At 40.5% G+C, this 18,553-nt stretch overlaps 1 protein-coding gene and 1 long non-coding RNA gene across 4 annotated transcripts in view, besides 2 other annotated features; one reads left to right on the forward strand and one right to left on the reverse strand.

The window, feature by feature from the left end:
• Positions 1-13,978, reverse strand: part of HIBADH (3-hydroxyisobutyrate dehydrogenase) — a 137,442-nt gene extending 123,464 nt beyond the window's left edge. Inside the window, exons 1-2 of one of the 2 annotated variants that reach the window (NM_152740.4) lie at positions 13,793-13,978; positions 568-728 (exon numbers count right to left, since the gene is read on the reverse strand). In NM_152740.4, coding sequence (NP_689953.1) covers positions 568-728; positions 13,793-13,883 — 252 coding nt within the window. In that variant the 5' untranslated portion in view covers positions 13,884-13,978. The remainder of the gene's footprint in view (positions 1-567; positions 729-13,792) is intronic. The other variant, NM_001430749.1, reaches the window with a different exon arrangement.
• The window catches only part of LOC105375211 (uncharacterized), a 75,204-nt gene that overhangs the window by 1,060 nt on the left and 55,591 nt on the right, over positions 1-18,553 (forward strand). The window contains exons 2-3 of one of the 2 annotated variants that reach the window (XR_927139.3): positions 3,695-3,745; positions 7,727-7,861. This is a non-coding gene — a long non-coding RNA (uncharacterized LOC105375211). Of the gene's footprint in view, positions 1-3,694; positions 3,746-7,726; positions 7,862-18,553 lie in introns of those variants that run through there. The other variant, XR_007060268.1, reaches the window with a different exon arrangement.
• Positions 13,715-14,532: an enhancer, noted in NCBI's record as "H3K27ac-H3K4me1 hESC enhancer chr7:27702239-27703056 (GRCh37/hg19 assembly coordinates)". NCBI's record gives its function as "activates a minimal SCP1, AML or CMV promoter by ChIP-STARR-seq in naive H9 embryonic stem cells {active_cell/tissue: H9 hESC(naive)}" and the evidence as "EXISTENCE:reporter gene assay evidence [ECO:0000049][PMID:30033119]".
• Positions 13,748-14,167: a silencer, noted in NCBI's record as "silent region_18043". NCBI's record gives its function as "represses an Ori minimal core promoter by ATAC-STARR-seq in GM12878 lymphoblastoid cells {active_cell/tissue: GM12878}" and the evidence as "EXISTENCE:reporter gene assay evidence [ECO:0000049][PMID:35858748]".

Raw genomic sequence — 18,553 nt, forward strand, 5'->3', positions numbered from 1 at the left:
ACAAAGTGCTGCCATATGATGTTTTCAAAGTATGTTCACATACATTCTCTCATTTGAGCTTCACAACCTAATGGCATAGGTTGTCATCGTTCACATTTTAAGAATGAGGAAATCAGCAGAAGTGATGTAACTTGCCCCCAGTAAGAAAGCATGTATCTGAGCTTCAACTCAAACTAAGCTTTATATCTCTAAGCCTACTCTTGTTTTAAAGACATATGTGCTTTTAATAACACAGGAGGTTATTTCCACCAAACTAACTACTTTAACAGCACAATCAGTAAAGTTACTATCTCAGAAAACTGATACAGAGCTAAAACAAGGCCCTCTGACCAAATGTGCAAAATGTTCCAAGTCACCTGCCAAAGAATAGATACCCCTGAATGTCTAACGAGAACTCTCCTTTACTGCAAATCTGGATGTTGGATGAATGATTACATATATATAAAATTAACACTGAATTAGGTTTACAACTCCATTGGGTATACTTCTAAGAAGCTGTCACTTATTTGAATGTATATTCATTTTTCATTCTCAAAATCTAAAACAAATCTAAAGAAAAGGTCTTACCTGTTCACCTGCATCTTGAAACTCTTTGCAGGCATCAGGGAACACATCATAAATAATAAGTGGATAGCCATGTTTCATGAGATTTTTTGCCATTGGATTCCCCATGTTGCCCAGTCCAATGAATCCAACTGGAGTCTTTGAAGCCACTGACCTAGAACACACTGATTTCAATACATTATTTTCAATAGGGGCAAATAACATTTTTTATTGTAAACATTCATTTAATATTAGCAAGTCAATTGTTAGATTTTTTTTTTTTAATAAAAGAAACTTTCAGGAACCAGGTGCAGTGGTGCACACCTATAATCCCAGCTACTTGGGAGGCTGAGGTAGGAGGACTGCTCGAGCCCAGGAGTTTTAGAACAGCCTAGGCAACACAGTGAGATCCCATCTCAAAAATAAATAATAATATTTATTAAAAAAAAAACCCACTAACTTTTAAAAGGCAAATTTTAAACTAATGGACCTAACCACATTTAAAGTTATCAACAATGTGCAGGCAGACTAACTTCTAATTATTTAGTTTTCTGGGGCACATTCACAAAATTTTAAGCATTTTTCCTGTTTTGTACCTGTATAACATTCTTTTACCATTTTTAACAATAAACTAAATAATGTTATCATTTATAAAACACCTAATATGTAATTTACTTATAATGTGAAGTATTCCATATTATCTCCCTTAATAATGTGTATAAAAGACAGAAAGTATTCAAAAAGACGTAAGTCTTGGACCAGCTTCAAGAATGGAAAAACTTTTTACCTTCCCACTCCCACAGTTACAGAAACCATCCCCTCCAATGATACAAAAAAAAAAAAACTCAAAAAGATGTTAAACCCAGGAGAATGGAATCACCAGTTTATAAAGGTGGTCCTGGGGTAGAAAGGGGAGATACCTCCATAGGCTTTAAATGGCAAGTGTAACAGTATCAGGACCTTGGTCTAACAACTCTGAACTTTCAGAAAAGAGAGACTTCCTTATTATATTTTTATTTATTTATTTATTTATTTATTTATTTATTTATTTATTTATTTTTTGAGACGGAGTCTCACTCTGTCACCCAGATTGGAGGGCAGTAATGCAATCTCGGCTCACTGAAGCCTCTGCCTATTGGGTTCAAGCAATTCTCATGCCTTAGCCTCCGGTGTAGCTGGGATCACAGACACGCACCACCATGCCTGGCTAATTTTTGTCCTTTTAATAGAGACAGAGTTTCACCATGTTGACCAGGCTGCCATTAAAAAAAAAAAAAAAAAAGCCTTAAAAACTACACAGGTTTTATTTATTCTTTTATTTTTCATATAAGACTTTTTGAAATTACTCCGTGGGCATATGAATCAAAGTAATGCGTTACAGAGTGGGGAGGCTTTACAGTACTATGGAAATAGCGTTAGATGCAATTTTTCACTTTCTAGATTTAGAACTCCACTCAATAAATATTCACTGCATGAAGTACTATGACAGAGCTCAGAGACAGACACAAGCAACGTATGGTCCCTGTCCTTTAAAAGCTCACAGTCTAGTGAGGGAAAAGAGAGAAGTAACTCTCCTTGCTCTTCCATTTCCCAGCATTCTTTTTCTTTTTTCTTTCAAGAACTCCAGCTTTAAAATTTGTAGTGCAACAACTAATCACAGTCCCTCTTTTAAGTTTCAGGTCCCCTCAACTGAACTTAATCTGCTCTTCCCTGAACTGAATCTGAATGGAATGAGATTTGTTAAAAGCAAATTATTTGAAGCCCTAATGCTTAAGAACTAGAGGTCTTCTTGGGTTGGAAGCATATTTAATTCCTTTAACTTAATGACTGACTCTAACACTTCCATTAAATGTGGGTGTCATTTCTGTGCAACATCATTTAACAGGCGCTAAGTTTAATACACTGGTATAATAGTACACTGGTATAATAGTACACTGGTATAGTTTGTCTTTCTGGCCTGCAAGGAATTCAATGACAGAAAAGTGACACCAAACTGAAATTTTATTTTGATATTAAACAGAATGAGTACACTTCATCAGAGAACTCTAACTAATGCTCATAAACAAACTAGCAATAATAGCCAGAAAGAAAATGTGGCATTACTGTGTTAAGGTTGAAAAGGTGTAATTTAGCAATCTAAAAACTTCAGCAACTAGGAAGATTATAATTTAAAGACAGTTAATTTAACAGGCAATTCACTCTAGGTCAAACAATTCATAAGTATGGTCACGTAGAACCACAATTCATTCACAAATTCAACAAACACTAAGCAACTATCACATGTACCAAAAGAGATGCCAAAGAAGGTAAGAGACACAGTCCTTGCCTTCAACAAGCTTAAAACCAAGAAGAAATAAACCATGTACATAAACACTAACATAAGACAGTTAAAGATAAAAACACAATGCTGATGAAAAATGAGAATTCATGGTGTGGGAACTTGAGGAATGTGGCATCTGACCTGGATATTATACAAGGGGTAGGATTTCAAATGGATAGGAGGGTAAGGAGGAGGGGAACTCCATACAGAAAAAGGAACATGAATATATACAAGGAACTAGAAGAGCCATGAAGAAATGACAGTAATAGTTAATATTTACTGCAATTTTACTACATGCCAGACACTATGCTAAGCACTTTATAAACAGACCTATTACCATATGCTATATATGAAGCCCATCTTACAGCTGAGAACCCTGATGCTGAGTTGAAGTAAAATACCTAATACTTTACTAAGTTGTAATGCCAAGATTCAAATCCAGACATTCTAATTCTAGAGTCTCCACTTGTAAACATTGTATGATACTGCCCTCTATTCTTCCTAAAGAATGCACAAAGAAACAAAACAGCAAGAGATTAAGATTAAAAAAAAAATGCAACCATAATGTGGAAGGATAGAAGGATGCTAAACAACTTGTATTTTGTAGGCAAGAGGTAGTTATTGAAACAGTGGGCAAGAGAAATGACAGATGAGACTTACACTTTAGGAACAGAAATGAGGCAGCAGTGTACAATGAATGAACTTGAAGAAAAGAGCCTGGAGGCAAGAAGACCAATATAAAAGTGACAGTAATCCTCTAGATGCCTTAGTTTGAGCTACTATAACAAATATACCATAATGGCTTAAATAACGAACACTTATTTCTCACAGTTCTGGAGGCCAGGAAGTCCAACATGAAGGTGACAGCAGATCCAGTGTCTGGTAGGTCCACTTCCTCGTTTGCTGATGGCCATTTTCTCACTGTATCCTCACATGGTAGAGAGCAGAAAGAGAAGCCACTCTCATGTCTCTCTGTACAACAGCACTAATCCTATTCACAGGAGCTCTATCCGCATGATCTAATTGCCTCCCAAAGGGCCTAGCTCCTAATATCATTATATTGAGGGTTAGGAATTTTGGCCAGGCGCAGCGGCTCACGCCTGTAATCCCAGCACTTTGGGAGGCCAAAGTGGGTGGATCACCTGAGGTCAGGAGTTTGAGACCAACCTGGCCAACATGGTGAAACCCAGTCTTTACTAAAAATACAAAAATTATCCAGGCATGGTGGCATGTGCTTGTAATCCCAGTTACTCAGGAGGGTGAGGCAGGAGGATTGCTTGAACATAGGGGGTGGAGGATGCAGCGAGCCAAGATCGCACCACTGCACTCCAGCCTGGGTGACAGAGCGAGACTCCGTCTCAAAAAAGAAAAAAAAAGGAATTCAACATATAAATTTTGTGGGGACATAAAATTTCAGTCCATAACAAAGTCAAAATTAATAAAGTGTGGTAGCCACAGGAAAAGACAGGTATAAAAACTATTTCAAAGACAGAAGTAAAAGGATAAAACAATGGATTGGATTATAGGCTAAAATAAGGGTGAGGTCCAAAATGACAGTAAGAGAATAGTGTTATCAATACCTAAGTGAAGAAATCAAGGAGAGCTGGCTCAGTTTTACCCAGGGTAACTATGAACTGTCAATGAGCTGAAAAGATGTCCAACAGACTATTAGAAATACCATGACCGGCCGGGCGTGGTGGCTCACGCCTGTAATGCCAGCACTTTGGGAGGCCGAGACGGGCGGATCACGAGGTCAGGAGATCGAGACCATCGTGGCTAACATGGTGAAACCCCGTCTCTACTAAAAATACAAAAAAAATTAGCCGGGTGTAGTGGCAGGCGCCTGTAGTCCCAGCTACTCGGGAGGCTGAGGCAGGAGAATGGCATGAACCTGGGAGGCGGAGCTTGCAGTGAGCTGAGATCGCACCACTGCACTCCAGCCTGGGCGACAATGTGAGACTCTGTCTCAAAAAAAAAAAAGAAATACCATGACCAAGGTTTCAGTGATAGGATGAGAAAAAAGAGATATACCTGGTAGCCATTTGTCTCAAAAGTTAAGAGGTGAAATTTGTAAAAGTTAATAAAATCACCAGATGAGTATGAAGAGGCTGAAGGCCAAAGTTGAACCTCTCTGAAGCCCAAGGGAACGTGTATACTCAAAAGTCAAAAAGTCAAAACCAACCCTAAGCTGAAACAGATGTTAGAATTAGAAAACAAGGACGTTAAAAATTATAACTGTAGTCTATATATTCCAAAGGTAGAATTATGAAAGATATTTTTATCAATACAAATTAAATTTCTTGAGATGAAATCTACTACTAAAATATGTGAGATGAAAATTATACCAGAAGATTAACTGAAGAGTAGATACCAAAGGAAAGATTAATAACCTTGAAGATACAGCAATAGAAACTATTCAAAACACAAAGAAAAAAATAATTTAAAAAATAAAGAGAGCATCAATAAGCTGTGAGACAGCTTCAACCACCCAAACACATATGTAACTAGAGTCCTCAAATGAGAAGAGAGAAGTGGGGCAGAAAATATGTGTGAAGAACAAATGGCCAAAAATGTTCCAAAGTTGATGAAAACTACAAACCCCATGCATCCAAGGAACTCTATGAACCCCAATACAAGAAACATGAAGAAAACCATATTAAGATGCATCACAATCAAACGCACAAGAGCAGCCACAGGAAAAAGGACACACTATGTAGAAAGGGAAAAAGATAAGGATAAAGGCAGATTTCTCATCAGAAACAATGCAAGTGAGAAGACAGTGGTGCAACATTTTTTAAATACCAGAAGGAAAAAACAACTATCAAGCTAGAAATCTATAACCAAGAAAAATATACAAATATTTGTATATTCCAGAGGTATGAATCAATCTCAGGGGTATGATGATGGATATGTTTACCATTTTTTTGTGTTTTTTTTTTGGACAGGGTCTCACTCTGTCGCCCAGGCTAGAGTGCAGTGGCATGATCACAGCTCGCTACAGCCTCAACTTCCCAAGCTCAGATGATCCCACTTCAGCTTCCCAAGTAGCTGGGACTACAGGCACATGCCACCAGTCCTGGCTAATTTTTGCATTTTTTTGTAGAGATGAGGTTTCATCATGTTGGCCAGACCAGTCTCGAACTCCTGAGCTCAAGCAATCAGTGGGCCTCAGCCTCCTAAAGTTCTAGGAGCGCAGGCGTGAGCCACCGCACCCAGCCACACTCTCTTGACTGTGATGATAGCTTCACCGGCTTATATACATCAAAACTAATCAAACTGTATACTTTATGTACAACTTATCATATATCACTATATTGCTAATAAAGCTGTTTTTAAAAAGTCAGTATCATATATATAGAAACAAACAAGAGAAGACAGTTCTCAATTAGTACTAAAGTGATAGATCAAATGTAAAGTGTGAAGTCTGAATGGATCCTGACTTTAAAAAAAAGCTAGCCTTTAAGAAAATAATGAAATTTTGAATGCAAATTGTACATTAGATGATACCATGGAATCACTGCTAATTGGCTTAGGTAGGATAATGGTAGTTTGGTTACATAGGAGAATATCCTCATTCTTAGATTCATGCTGAAGCATTAGGGTTAAAGTGTCATGTCAGCAATTTACTTTCAAATGATTCAAGCGGGATAGGTATATATGTGGAAGAAAAAAAGTCAATGTGGCAAAATATTAACAACTTGTTTCTAAGGAAAGAGTATATGGATGTCAGTTATATTATTCTTTCAATACTTTCTGCTTCATATTTTTCATAATAAAACAAGGGGAAAAAGATTAGCATATCTATATGGAAAAAATATCACAAACAGATAAAATACAAATAAGAAAAACACTCTAACACATGACAAAAATAGAGCTACTTTGTTTTATATGTAAAATAACTTTACAATCTGGAAGAAAAACATGAATAATTTTTTAAAGTAGGCAAAAATCACAAAATGACAACAGAAAATATGTAAATTACCCCCCAGAAAACCTCTAAAAATATACCCAACTTGTCATAATTAGAGAAATGCAAAACAAAATGATGTGATACCATTTTTCACCTGTTGGATAAGTTTTTTCTTTGATAAAAACTACTCTTGGTAAGAAATAACTGATGAAAACATATGCTCTCATATACTGTCAAATTGTATATTAGGTCGACCTTTTGGATGGTAATTTGGCAAAAAAAAATTTGAACTTTTATTTAGAATTTAAATTTAAAACATGCATACTCTTTGACCTAGCAATTCCATTTCTAAGAATATATACTACACATGAGGGGCCAGCCAACTTTGTCTTAAAGAGTCAGGCAGTAAATTATTTTCAGCTTTGTGAGCCATTGTGAAATGGTGTTACAACCATTTCATTCATCTACTCTAGTTTGAAAGCAGCCATAGACAACATACAAACAAATGGGTATGGCTGTGTTCCAATACAATTTTATTTACAAACAAGGTGCCCAACTATGGGCCATAGCAATCCCTACTATGTATTAAATTCTGAACAACACAAAGATATAGTTTATTACAGCACTACTTGTAACAGCCAAAAAACTGCAAATAACTATGTATTAATAAGGCACTTCATTCATAACTAATTATATATTAATAGGGCACTTAATTCATAACTAAATGTACATTGTAGGACACTTGATAATTCACAGTAAATCAACACAATGAAATGTGCAAATGTTTAAAAAAAGGTGACATTTATCTAAAATTATAGGAAAAAATCTCCAGGATAAGTTATTAAGTGGAAAAAAAATGCTGAGCATTATCTATAGGATACAGTATAAGAGAAGAAAAAATGATACATATGCATTAATTTTTCTGATTTTCTGTATGGATACACACGAAACAGTACTTACACCTGGAGAGTTGGACTACTGGGTCGGAGTTGAAGAAAATTTTACTTTTAATTTTATAACCTTTCCCATTTTTTACCATGAGCATGTAACTTTTGTAACTACTTTTATAATAAAATGAAATAAATGAAGTGGCACAGTGAAATTTAATATATGCTATGTGAATGAATAATAAACTAGGTAAGTTTCATCAAATGGGCATATGGGAATAAAAGCCAGTTCTAAAGCAATTACAAAGTAATGCTGCTGATAAAAGTGGACTGTGTAAAGGTAAACAGTGTCACAGCAACCATTACACATTGCAGGTTGACTCTCCAATATTCTTTCCCGTAGATCCGAGGTCAAGTTTCAAACTGTCTAAACTAATACATGGTAATGGCATCCTTCTGCCAAATGACTGGTTCAGGAGCTGCCAGCCCTAAGTTAAAGTTCTGGAAATGCTGTGGAAAATCTGAAAATGTAATGGGGAATAAACAAGAGATTAATGAAAGCATTGTATCTAATCAGCAAACTTCTGTGACTCTCCATATCACCAAGCTAAGTGACAGCTGGGGAAAGGCACAAACAGACCACAACAATGGATTTATCCAGAAATACAACAAGAGGCTGAAAAAAACAGTATTAGGCATCAGTGAAATTCCTAATTATAAATAAGTTTGAGAATGGGTACAGACAAACCTAGAGAGAGACCTTATGAAATGAGGAAACAAGAAAGCATGTCTATGTACTTGGAGGAAAAGGGAGGGAGTCAAAGGACCAGGTGATGAGCATTATGTAACAGTATGTTTGTTAGAACAAGAATCACAGAGGAGGTTAAATCAACCAGAGACTAGTTCTGCTGGTGAAATCTCAGCAAGAGAATCACTCCTACTACTAAGATCCTAGAAAAACTGAAGTAGAGTGCTGATGTTACTGAAGCTGAAGAAGTTAAGAACAATGAGGCCATGTTGGATGGGCCAACATGAATGTGAATGAAGATAAAGTTTTCAAAGGACTCAGCTCTCTTTATTTCATCTTTCTCTGTGGCAAAGTTAAAGAAAGGCCAGTATAATTAGATGACCTGATGTCAAAAGAGAATAAGTTATCTATTGATGGTGATAATGTTTAAAATTTTCTCTGAGTTGGGAAGGCCTAGGTTCCTATCCTGATAAGTTCACTTCTTAGATGTATACCATTGAAGTTACAAGTTACTTAACTTCTCTAGACAACATTTGATCAATAAAAGTACCTACTTCAGAAGATTATTGTAAAGATTACTTGAGATGATGCATATAAAGCGTTAAACAGTGCCTGGCACACGATTGATAATAAGTATTAGTTACTCTTACCAAAAATGGTCAAGTTGTAGCAGTACAGGTCAAGTCCTATGCCAACTGCCCCTTTTTGCCTAGTGGGTTACAAGAGCCAAAGAGATAGAAAAAAGTATAGATGACTGTAGGAGAAGCCCTGTATCTGGGGAAAGAAAGCTTTTAGTTAAGGTGAAACACCTGAATAAGCGCTTGGCAAATATAAAATAATTTGCACCCAAAGGGGCAGAAATCCATGAGTATAATGGAATGATTATTGCCCTAAAAACTCTCAAACCTAAATAATGCATCTCTCTTTAAATAACTTCTGACAGTAGTGCGTGGAAAAAGTAGAGTTAAAACATAAATAAAACCAAGCTGGGAGAAAATCAATCAACCAAATACAAAGGTGATACTGGTTCACTGGTTAAGAAACTAGCATTAGTGTCTATTACTGAGGACGAATGAAAAGAAACTAGCCAGAAAACTTGGCAAAGTTTGTTTCTAAATTTATAGATGCAAATTTACCGATTATGACCTCTTTCTCCAATGTAACAAGGGGAGTTATCCGTATCTTGATAACCTTAAGTGCTATCAAAAAGCAGGTTTCACTAAGTGTCAAAATGCAAAAATTGGTAACAAGTTAATTATTTTACATTTCTGAGGCTTCTTTTCTATTCAAAGTAATGCATTTTCATTGTAGAAAACTAGAATGAAAAAGTATACAGTTGTAAGGGGAAGCAATCTCATTACACAAAAATAAAAAAAACATTTTGCATGGACTTTCAGTCTTTTGACTGCATTTTTCATTATATCATAAGGTTATATTTTCTATACAATGTATGTCTATTTTATCACATAATACATTTTTTATATCTATTTTATCACATAATACTACGTCATAAGCACTCTATCTGCTTTACTATTAACAGTTACTAAACTAAGGGTGACGACTTTCTCTATAAAGGCCTTTACGGTTTCAGTCAACTTATTTTAGTAATAAATACGCTCCTTATGTAATTTCACAAGTTTAGGGTCAACTTTTAGGCCCCGGACCATGAGCAGCTTTTCAGAACTTCATGTGCAGCCCTAGAAGCTAATGTAAAGGGAAAAACTGCCATTATATATTTGATTTATCCAATGAGTTATGCTACTTTGAAAGTAAATTTCACATATACAAAAAGGACCAATAATATTAAAAATTGTATTCCTGTTTCTATACATGATGCTAATTTTTCCATTCTACCTTTGGTCAGGTGGTCACCTCAAGATGATCTGATGTGATTTATTTTTCCATGTACAAGCTGTAGAGTCACAACGTGACATTTTGTAGAGGGCCTATAGCTGTAGATTTTCTTCTCTGTACAAATAAGTCTGAAACTAAACTTAATTACCTTCTAAAATAACATACACAATTTTATCAAACAGGTGATGAAATAGTAATACATGTACACTTTAACATTTCTCATTCTTCTATTTCCTTTTCAATGCTTTAAGTATTTTAAAATTAGGCTTAGGCACAGTGGCTCATGACTGTAATCCCAGTACTTTGGGAGGCTGAGGCAGGAGGATCAGTTGACCCCCAGAGTTCAAGACCAGGCTGGGCAACATGGTGAGACCCCATCTCTACAAAAAAAATAAATAAATAAATAAAGCCAGGTGTGGTGGTGTGCACCTGTGGTCCCAGCTACTTGGGAGGCTGAGGCAGGGGGATTGCTTGAGCCCACGAGGTTGAGGCTGCAATGAGCCATGATTGCACCACTGCACTCCAGCCTGGACAAGAGAGAGAGAGAGACCCCATCTCAAATAAACAAACAAACAAACAAACAAACATTTAAAAATTAAGATGTGGCAGGCTGGGCACAGTGGCTAATGCCTGTAAGCCCAACACTTTGGGAGGTCAAGGCAAGAGGATGGCTTCACGCCAGTAGTTCTAGACCAGCGTAGTAGGCAACTAGCCTTGTCTCAAAAAACATTTTTTTTTAAATTAGCTAGGTATCGTGGTGCACCCTGCAATCCTAACTACTTGGGAAGCTGAGGCGGAAGATCACTTGAGTACAGGAGTTCAAGGTTGCAGTGAGCTAAGTAGGTGCCATTGTACTCCTGCCTGGACAACACGGGGAGACCTGTCTCTAAAATGTATTTATAAAAAAGTTAAAAAGATGTGCTACTAACCGGCAACTTTCAGGTTTCATTTTTTTAAACAGTAAATTATATAGCTCCTTATAATATTATCATTCATATGATATAAACATCTTAAACATACTACAAATATCCAACAGAATTCAGAACATCACACATTACTATCTGAACATGGTTCTTTTTCTTAATGTCATTTGACTCCAAACTTGCAGGCAGATTTTTTTCTACTCTTTAAGAATCTAATGTCAGAAAAGTTAACACTTTTGCAGTAAACTAAAATTAACAGAAATTTAAATGTTTAAAACAATTCCAAAGAAAGGCCGGGCACAGTGGCTCACGCCTGTAATCCCAGCACTCTGGGAGGCCAAGGCGGGCGGATCACGAGGTCAAGTGATAGAGACCATCCTGGCTAACATGGTGAAACCCCGTTTCTACTAAAAAATACCAAAAAACTAGCCGGGCGTGGTGGCAGGCGCCTGTAGTCCCAGGTACTCCGGAGGCTGAGGCAGGAGAATGGCGTGAACCTGGGAGGCGGAGCTTGCAGTGAGCTGAGATTGCGCCAATGCACTCTAGCCTGGGCGACAGACAAAGACTCCGAGGGAAAAAAAAAAATTTTTTTCAAGAGAAAAAAAAATTGCTTAAGTGATTTAACCACTTCATCACAAAAGAACTATTTAAAATTTATCAGAAATCTATATTCTGACAATTACCTTTGGGCCAAAGAACCCAAAGTACAAGACCATATGCCAAAGTAGTCTAATCAGCACTCTGAGGTAGGCCCTCCCAGTTTACAGAGGCACGTATTACAGTCTTAGGCCTCAGGCTCTTTCACCATGAATTGGTAAGAACTTTCATAACTCTAAAAGGTACATCAAGGGTTCATTAAAATACCATTAGAACACCTTGTAAAACCACTAAACAGCAAATATGTCTTCCTTGGCTAATGGGAACTGAAAGAATTGTGAATTCATGTGAAAACTGGTGCTACTGTGGAAAAGTGTCTATTCTTTTAGGGTTATCTCAAAAGTCGGAAGCATTTTTGTAGCTCAATATATGAAGCTCAAACAGTGGTTACATTCAAGTTTGGCATATTCTGAGTTTTTATCTTGTTACTGTGGTTCTGTATCAGACATCTGGTCTCTTGCATCTCACCGAGCCTCTGTTCTTCTCCAGCCAGAAAGGAAATTCAGAGGTTTCACTGAGGGGGAGAATGGGAAGCTGTTAAGAATTGTAAGAGAAAGTTCTTACAATTCCTGGCCAGCCACAGTGGTTCATGCCTATAATCCCAACGCTTTGGGAGGATCACTTGAGCGCAGGAGTTCAAGACCAGCCTGGGCAACATGGCGAAACTCCGTCCCTACTAAAAATACAAAAATTGGACGGGCGTGGTGGCACATGCCTGTAATCCCAGCTACTCGGGAGGCTGAGGTGGGAGGATCACCTGAGCCCAGGAGGTCGAGACTGCAGTGAGCAGTGTGACTGGGCCACTGCACTCCAGCCTGGGCGACAGAGACCCTGTCTCAAAAAAAAAAAAAAAAAAAAAAAAGGGCGGGGGGCCAAGGGGCTCAAATCCTAACCCACTATTTTTTTTTTAAGCAAAGATTAGAAAAAATTAATGCCAAGGTTTTTTTTGTTATTAATCCTCAGTATGATCTTGCTAAACGATGCATTGTTACAACTCTCAAACTTTCAGTTTGAGGAAGACAACGGCAGTGCCCCCACAAATCAACCAATTTTTCAATTAAAGAGGAGTCCTGGTGTGATAGAAAGTTAAGGAATTAGGAACAACTGATAACAACTTTCTAGGTCTTGCTGGGAATATCCTGATTCACTCATCCAAGGGGCCTCATGTCCCTCGTGCGGAGTATGAAAGACTGTATTAGATCTCCGTGGATCTTCATCCTGGCTCTAAAAACTGCCTCTTTGTAAGTTCATGGCTAGCTTCCACAATTTACCATGGTATGAGAGGAGGGAGGCAGGATTAATTCTGCCCACAATCTTGAGGACGCTGAACGTGTTTTGGTTCATAATTTGACAAAAATGACATTTTTTTAGGTTACAGTAGAGGGGGGAAGCCCGTCTTGCTGGTCAAGGGTGACTGAAACTTTGCTGAAAGACTTACTGCCTGGCTTGTACAGCCACCGCTTGTGTAATAAGGCCATCCCCTCGGACTCAGGTGGTTAAACATCAGGCCCTGCTGCCCAAGTGTGTCCCCAACCCAAGGTGCACCCTGGGGGCGCTGAAAGACCAGGGGTCGCTGGGGTGAGTGCGGGTTGCTCCTGGAGTTGGGCGCTCCAAACGTCCTCGGAGTCCTAACTCCAAAGCAGCATGCCGGGGTCCCAAATACTCTCTTCTCTTCAGCCCAAGCTCTTCCCCACCTCTTCCTAAATCCCGAAAAGGGCGCTGAACCCGTTCATCAGGAGCCCGGGAGAAAGGGAGGGAAGGCAGAGGGGGGTACTCGCGGAGTGAGTGGCGGCCGCAGAAAAGGACAGGCCTTTAGTACCAGCCAAAATATTGTTTTTTAAGCCCCAGCCCAACCGCAGGGCCTCCCGAGAAAAGACTTCTTCGGCCGTCTGGACAGAAGAAGCGAGCGGCCGAAAGAAGGACAAGGGGGAGGAGGCGTGAGGTCCTTACCCGCTGCAAAGCTGCCGGCTGCCGGCCGCAGCCGCCGGCTCCAGTACCGGAGACCGGAGGCAGCTCCGAGGAGCCGTAAGGAGGCTGCCATGCTGCGCCCGCCCCTCTCCCCGCGGTGACCTCCGCCGCCTCCCGGAGGGCCCACAGACTGCGAGCGTGTGCAGCGGGACTGGCTGGCTCGCCCACGGAGAAGGGCGCGCGCGCACGCGCTCTCACCGCTCGGGGGCGGGTGCCCACGCGCGAGGGAAGGAGCGCGGAGCCGAGAGGAGCGGCCTGACGCGGCAGGGCCTGTCAATCCCTTTACGGACAGGGAAGCAGACCAATCAGAATTCCCAGGTCCGCAGCTGTGCGAAGGACCAATAAGAGGCCTTTTTGAACAGTGACGCCAGGCGCCCTGGCGCTGCCCCCAAGCTCGTGCCTCATTTACAGCCTGCGGGCGGGAGTCTCCTTGTTTACCAAAGCAGAGGGCGTGTGGGAGGCGGGGGCCGTCGCTCGCTCCCGCCTCCTCGGAAACCTTGTCCCCACAACCGCTGCGTGTTAAAAAGGACAAAACTGACTCGCAGCTTGAAAAACACTCAGAAAGCTACCATGTGTGTAATAACTTTTAAATTCATTTGATTTTACTTAACACAACAGTTTCTCAATACTAAAAATAGTAGGAAAAGAAGTTGGTAACATTATCTTTGAAGGGAAGAGTTACTAGAAACTTGCACTTTCTATTTCAAGGCATATTTCTCTAATCTTTGAAAATTCTACACCCTAAATCCATTTTGTAAGCAAAACTAAATATAAAATCCAGAAAGTAGTAGTATATGTATGTGTATTAGAAAGACCTTTTTTTTTTTTGGAGACGGAGTCTCTCTGTCACCCAGGCTGGAGTGCAGTGGCGCGATCTCGGCTCACTGCAATCTCCGCCTCCCGGGTTCAAGTGATTCTCCTGCTTCAGCCTCCGGAGTAGGTGAGGTGGGACTATAGGCCTGCGTGCGCCACCACACCCGGCTAATTTTTTTGGCACTTTGAGTAGAGGCGGGGTGTCGCCATTTTGCCTAGGCTGGTCTCAAACTCCTGGCGTCAAGTGATCCGCCCGCCTCGGCCTCCCAAAGTGCTGGTTATTACAGGCGTGAGCCACTGCGCGGTGCAGAGAGACAGACATTTAGTCATTCTTCTGTCAATGCTTAGTGTACATATTTGAGTCTGTAAACCCCTTGGGGGTAATTGCAGGCCTTCTCATCTCCACTGACTCCACCAAAGGGTTGGAAGCCATGACCACACCAAAGCAAGACTATAGCCTTTGGAGAATGGCAATACAGCAGGAAAGAGAATGTGTATGGAGTAGCTAGGGAAATGCGAACCCCAATCTAAGTAGCACAATCAACAAAATTTGACTTTGACCTTTTTTTCAACTCAGTAACCCATGGAGTTGAAAGCAAAGGAATTGGATCATTTCCATCTGGGCTCTTTTCATGTTTCTGGGCATGCTGGCAACGTTTCCAAAAACTTAAAAACTTGTACAGAGTGCAAGGTCCCTATCTGTAACTGGGAGGAAGTTAATGCCCTTCTTTGACCATCACTCCACCCCAACCCTCTACCCAACACTAAATGAAAAGAAGGAAGGAAAGGGACGAAGGGAGGGAGGGAGAAAAAACTCATTTCAACAATTAGACCTTCTCCTAGATTTGGGTCCCCACCCCTACTAGGGGTAAATTAGTTTCTGGAGCATTTCCCACCTGTGCCTCTCTTCCTGGTTTCGTCAGGTTTTAGCTGGAATAGATCTCCTGCAGGCAACAAATGTGGGCCTACAGGTTTCTTTTTCTTTTTCTTCCTCCAGCACTACAGGTTTCTATAATTAACTCCTGAACTGCAATTGGTCTTTCAACTGTGTCTCCTCCAAGAAGCCCTGCATTGTCTTCTCCAACAATGTCTCCTCCAAGAAGCCCTACATTGATTCATAAACTAAGGAATTTTCATAGGTTTCCATGATTTTAAAGAAGCGTTATGAATTTTTAAGTAATTCTTACTGTTTGAAGGTGCTTGCAGATATTATTGTACTGGCAAATGCAGTTCCTGCCTATGGCTGGTTAGCTTTCTTCATTTGATTGCCCTCCTGATGCCCTTGTTTGAAAGGCACTGCAACTCCTCCCTGAGTCTTTGCCACGCATTTTTGTTTGTAATTGTTTCAATGCCTTATAGTGGCCCCTGACTTCCGCTTCCAGGAAGATGGAGTAGATAGGTTTCTCCCTATTCTTCTAAGTACAACTAAAAACTCAACATTATATATAAGATAAACATAGGGAGACTTTGAAAGGTGGAGAGAAGTCACACTGGCTAGGGTCCAGAGAGCAACACGGTGGGAAGTTCCTTGGGTTTTCATGTAGCCTTATATACCCCAAACTGGGTGCTGGAGAAGCCAAAACCAGAAACCCCAAAATGCCAGGAAGCATAGATAGACAAAAAGTGCCCCAATAAAAGGCTGCTCTTTCTAGCCAAGTGATGAAAAAGGAGTGGCCTAGCAAGAAAGGAAACATTTAGAAGATAATCACTCCACTGTAGACAAACAATACACACATACATACACACACTGACCCCACCCCATAAAGCAAAGGCTGAGTTGGGAGCCTAGACTTCCACACTCTCCAGGTTGTGATGAGACACCCCAGCATCCTAACACCCCAATCGCTCTACTCCTCAACCCCTCTAAGGTGATGTCAGAGAAAACCAAAGAGAGGTATGGGATTTTCATCTTCAACTGGGCAGTAACAAGTAATCCTCCACACACATCCTTCCCTACTCTCAGTGTCACTGGAAACCACAGGGCGACCCTGGATTTCCACTCCTACCTTACAGTGGTGAGGTACCCCTCCCTTTCCCTGCTTAGATGGTGTAATTGGAGGTGTATTGGAGAGTCAGAGCTTTCATCACTGCCCAATGGTAAGGATGTCACACCCCTTCCCCTCCATGGTGTCACTGGAGGCTACATGGGGGCAGTAAGGAGCCATTCCAAGCCCTCTCAACTAGGGAAGTATCAGTGGACAACTAGTGGGGAGCTGAAACTCCCACCATTGCCCAGCAGTAACAAGGAACCACCCACCCTTGGTGTCAACAGAGGTGGAATAAGGAACCTAGACTTCTACTACCAGTTGCCATTTACAAGTTGATGCCCCCTGCCAGAGCAGTGTCAAGAAAAACTAGTTAAAATAAAAGGTTTAAATAATATCCAAAATATCATAATACCCAAATGTCCAGATTTCAACAAAAAATCACTCATGATACCAAATTTCAATTAAAAAATGACTCATGATTCCAAAACCCAGGAAGATTTCAAGCTGAATAAAAAAGACAATAGATGCCAACACTGAGATGACAAGTTAAAATTATCTAACAAAGATTTGAAAGCATCCATCAGAAAATATTTCAAGAAGCAATTAAAACATGCTTGAGGCCAGGCATGGTGGCTCACACCTGTAATCTTAGCACTTTGGGAGGCCGAGGCTGGCAGATCACTTGAGGTGAGGAGTTCAAGATCAGCCTGGCCAACATGGTAAAACCCCATCTCTTCCAAAAAAATACAAAAATTACCCAGGTGTGGTGGTGGGCACCTGTAATCCCAGCAACTCAGGAGGCTGAGGCAGGAGAATCACTTGAACCCAGGAGGCGGAGGTTGCAGTGAGCTATCACGCCACTGCACTCCAGCCTGGATGGCAGAGTGAGACTCCTTCTCAAAAAGTAAAATAAAACAATAAAACATGCTTGAATTAAATAAAAAGAAATCTCAGCAAAGAAACAACATATAAAGAAGAAATAAATGGAAATTTTAAAACTGAAAAAATGCAAGAAATACAATTTTTTAACTCAACAGCAGAATAAAGAAAAGAATCACTGAGCTAGAAGATAGAACAGTAGAAACTATCTAATCTAAACAGAGAGAAACTAGACTGGGATTTAAAAAGCTACGAAGCGCTGGGCGAGGTGGCTCAAGCCTGTAATCCCAGCACTTTGGGAGGCCAAGGCGGGCGGATCACGTGGTCAGGAGATCGGGACCATCCTGGCTAATACGGTGAAACCCCGTCTCTACTAAAAATACAAAAAAATTAGCCAGGTGTGGTGGCGGGCGCCTGTAGTCCCAGCTACTCGGGAGGCTGAGGCAGGAGAATGGCGTGAACCCAGGAGGTGGAGCTTGCAGTGAGCCGAGATTGTGCCACTGCACTCCAGCCTGGGCGACAGAGCGAGACTCCGTCTCAAAAAAAAAAAGCCACGAAGCTCAGGGGCATGTGTTGTGACTCTTAACAAAAGATCTAACATTCAGCTGGGTGTGGTGGCCCACGCCTGTAATCCCACTTTGGGAGGCCCAAGCAGGTGGATCACCTGAGGTCAGGAGTTCAAGACCAGCCTGGCCAACATGGTGAAACCTCGTGTCTACCTAAAATACAAAAATCAGCTGGGCATGGTGGTGGGCGCCTGTAATCCCAGCTACTCAGGAGGCTGAGGCAGGAGAATCGATTGAACCTGGGAGCAGGAGGTTGCAGTGAGCCGAGATCGCGTTACTGCACTCCAGCCTGGACAACAAGAGTGAAACTCCGTCTCAAAAAAAAAAAATCTAACATTCCTGTCATCAGAATCTCAGAATCTGGGAAGAAGAGGAATAAGACTTTCCCAACAATACCCACACTATCTAATCATTTTTACGCCTATTCCTAAGATATCATTCTCTCTGTACTCACCTCCCTGACAATGCAGTACTCTTTCCCTTTCCCAGAGCACTCT

Source organism: Homo sapiens, chromosome 7 (genome assembly GCF_000001405.40).
Source record: "Homo sapiens chromosome 7, GRCh38.p14 Primary Assembly".
Classification (NCBI taxonomy): domain Eukaryota; kingdom Metazoa; phylum Chordata; class Mammalia; order Primates; family Hominidae; genus Homo; species Homo sapiens.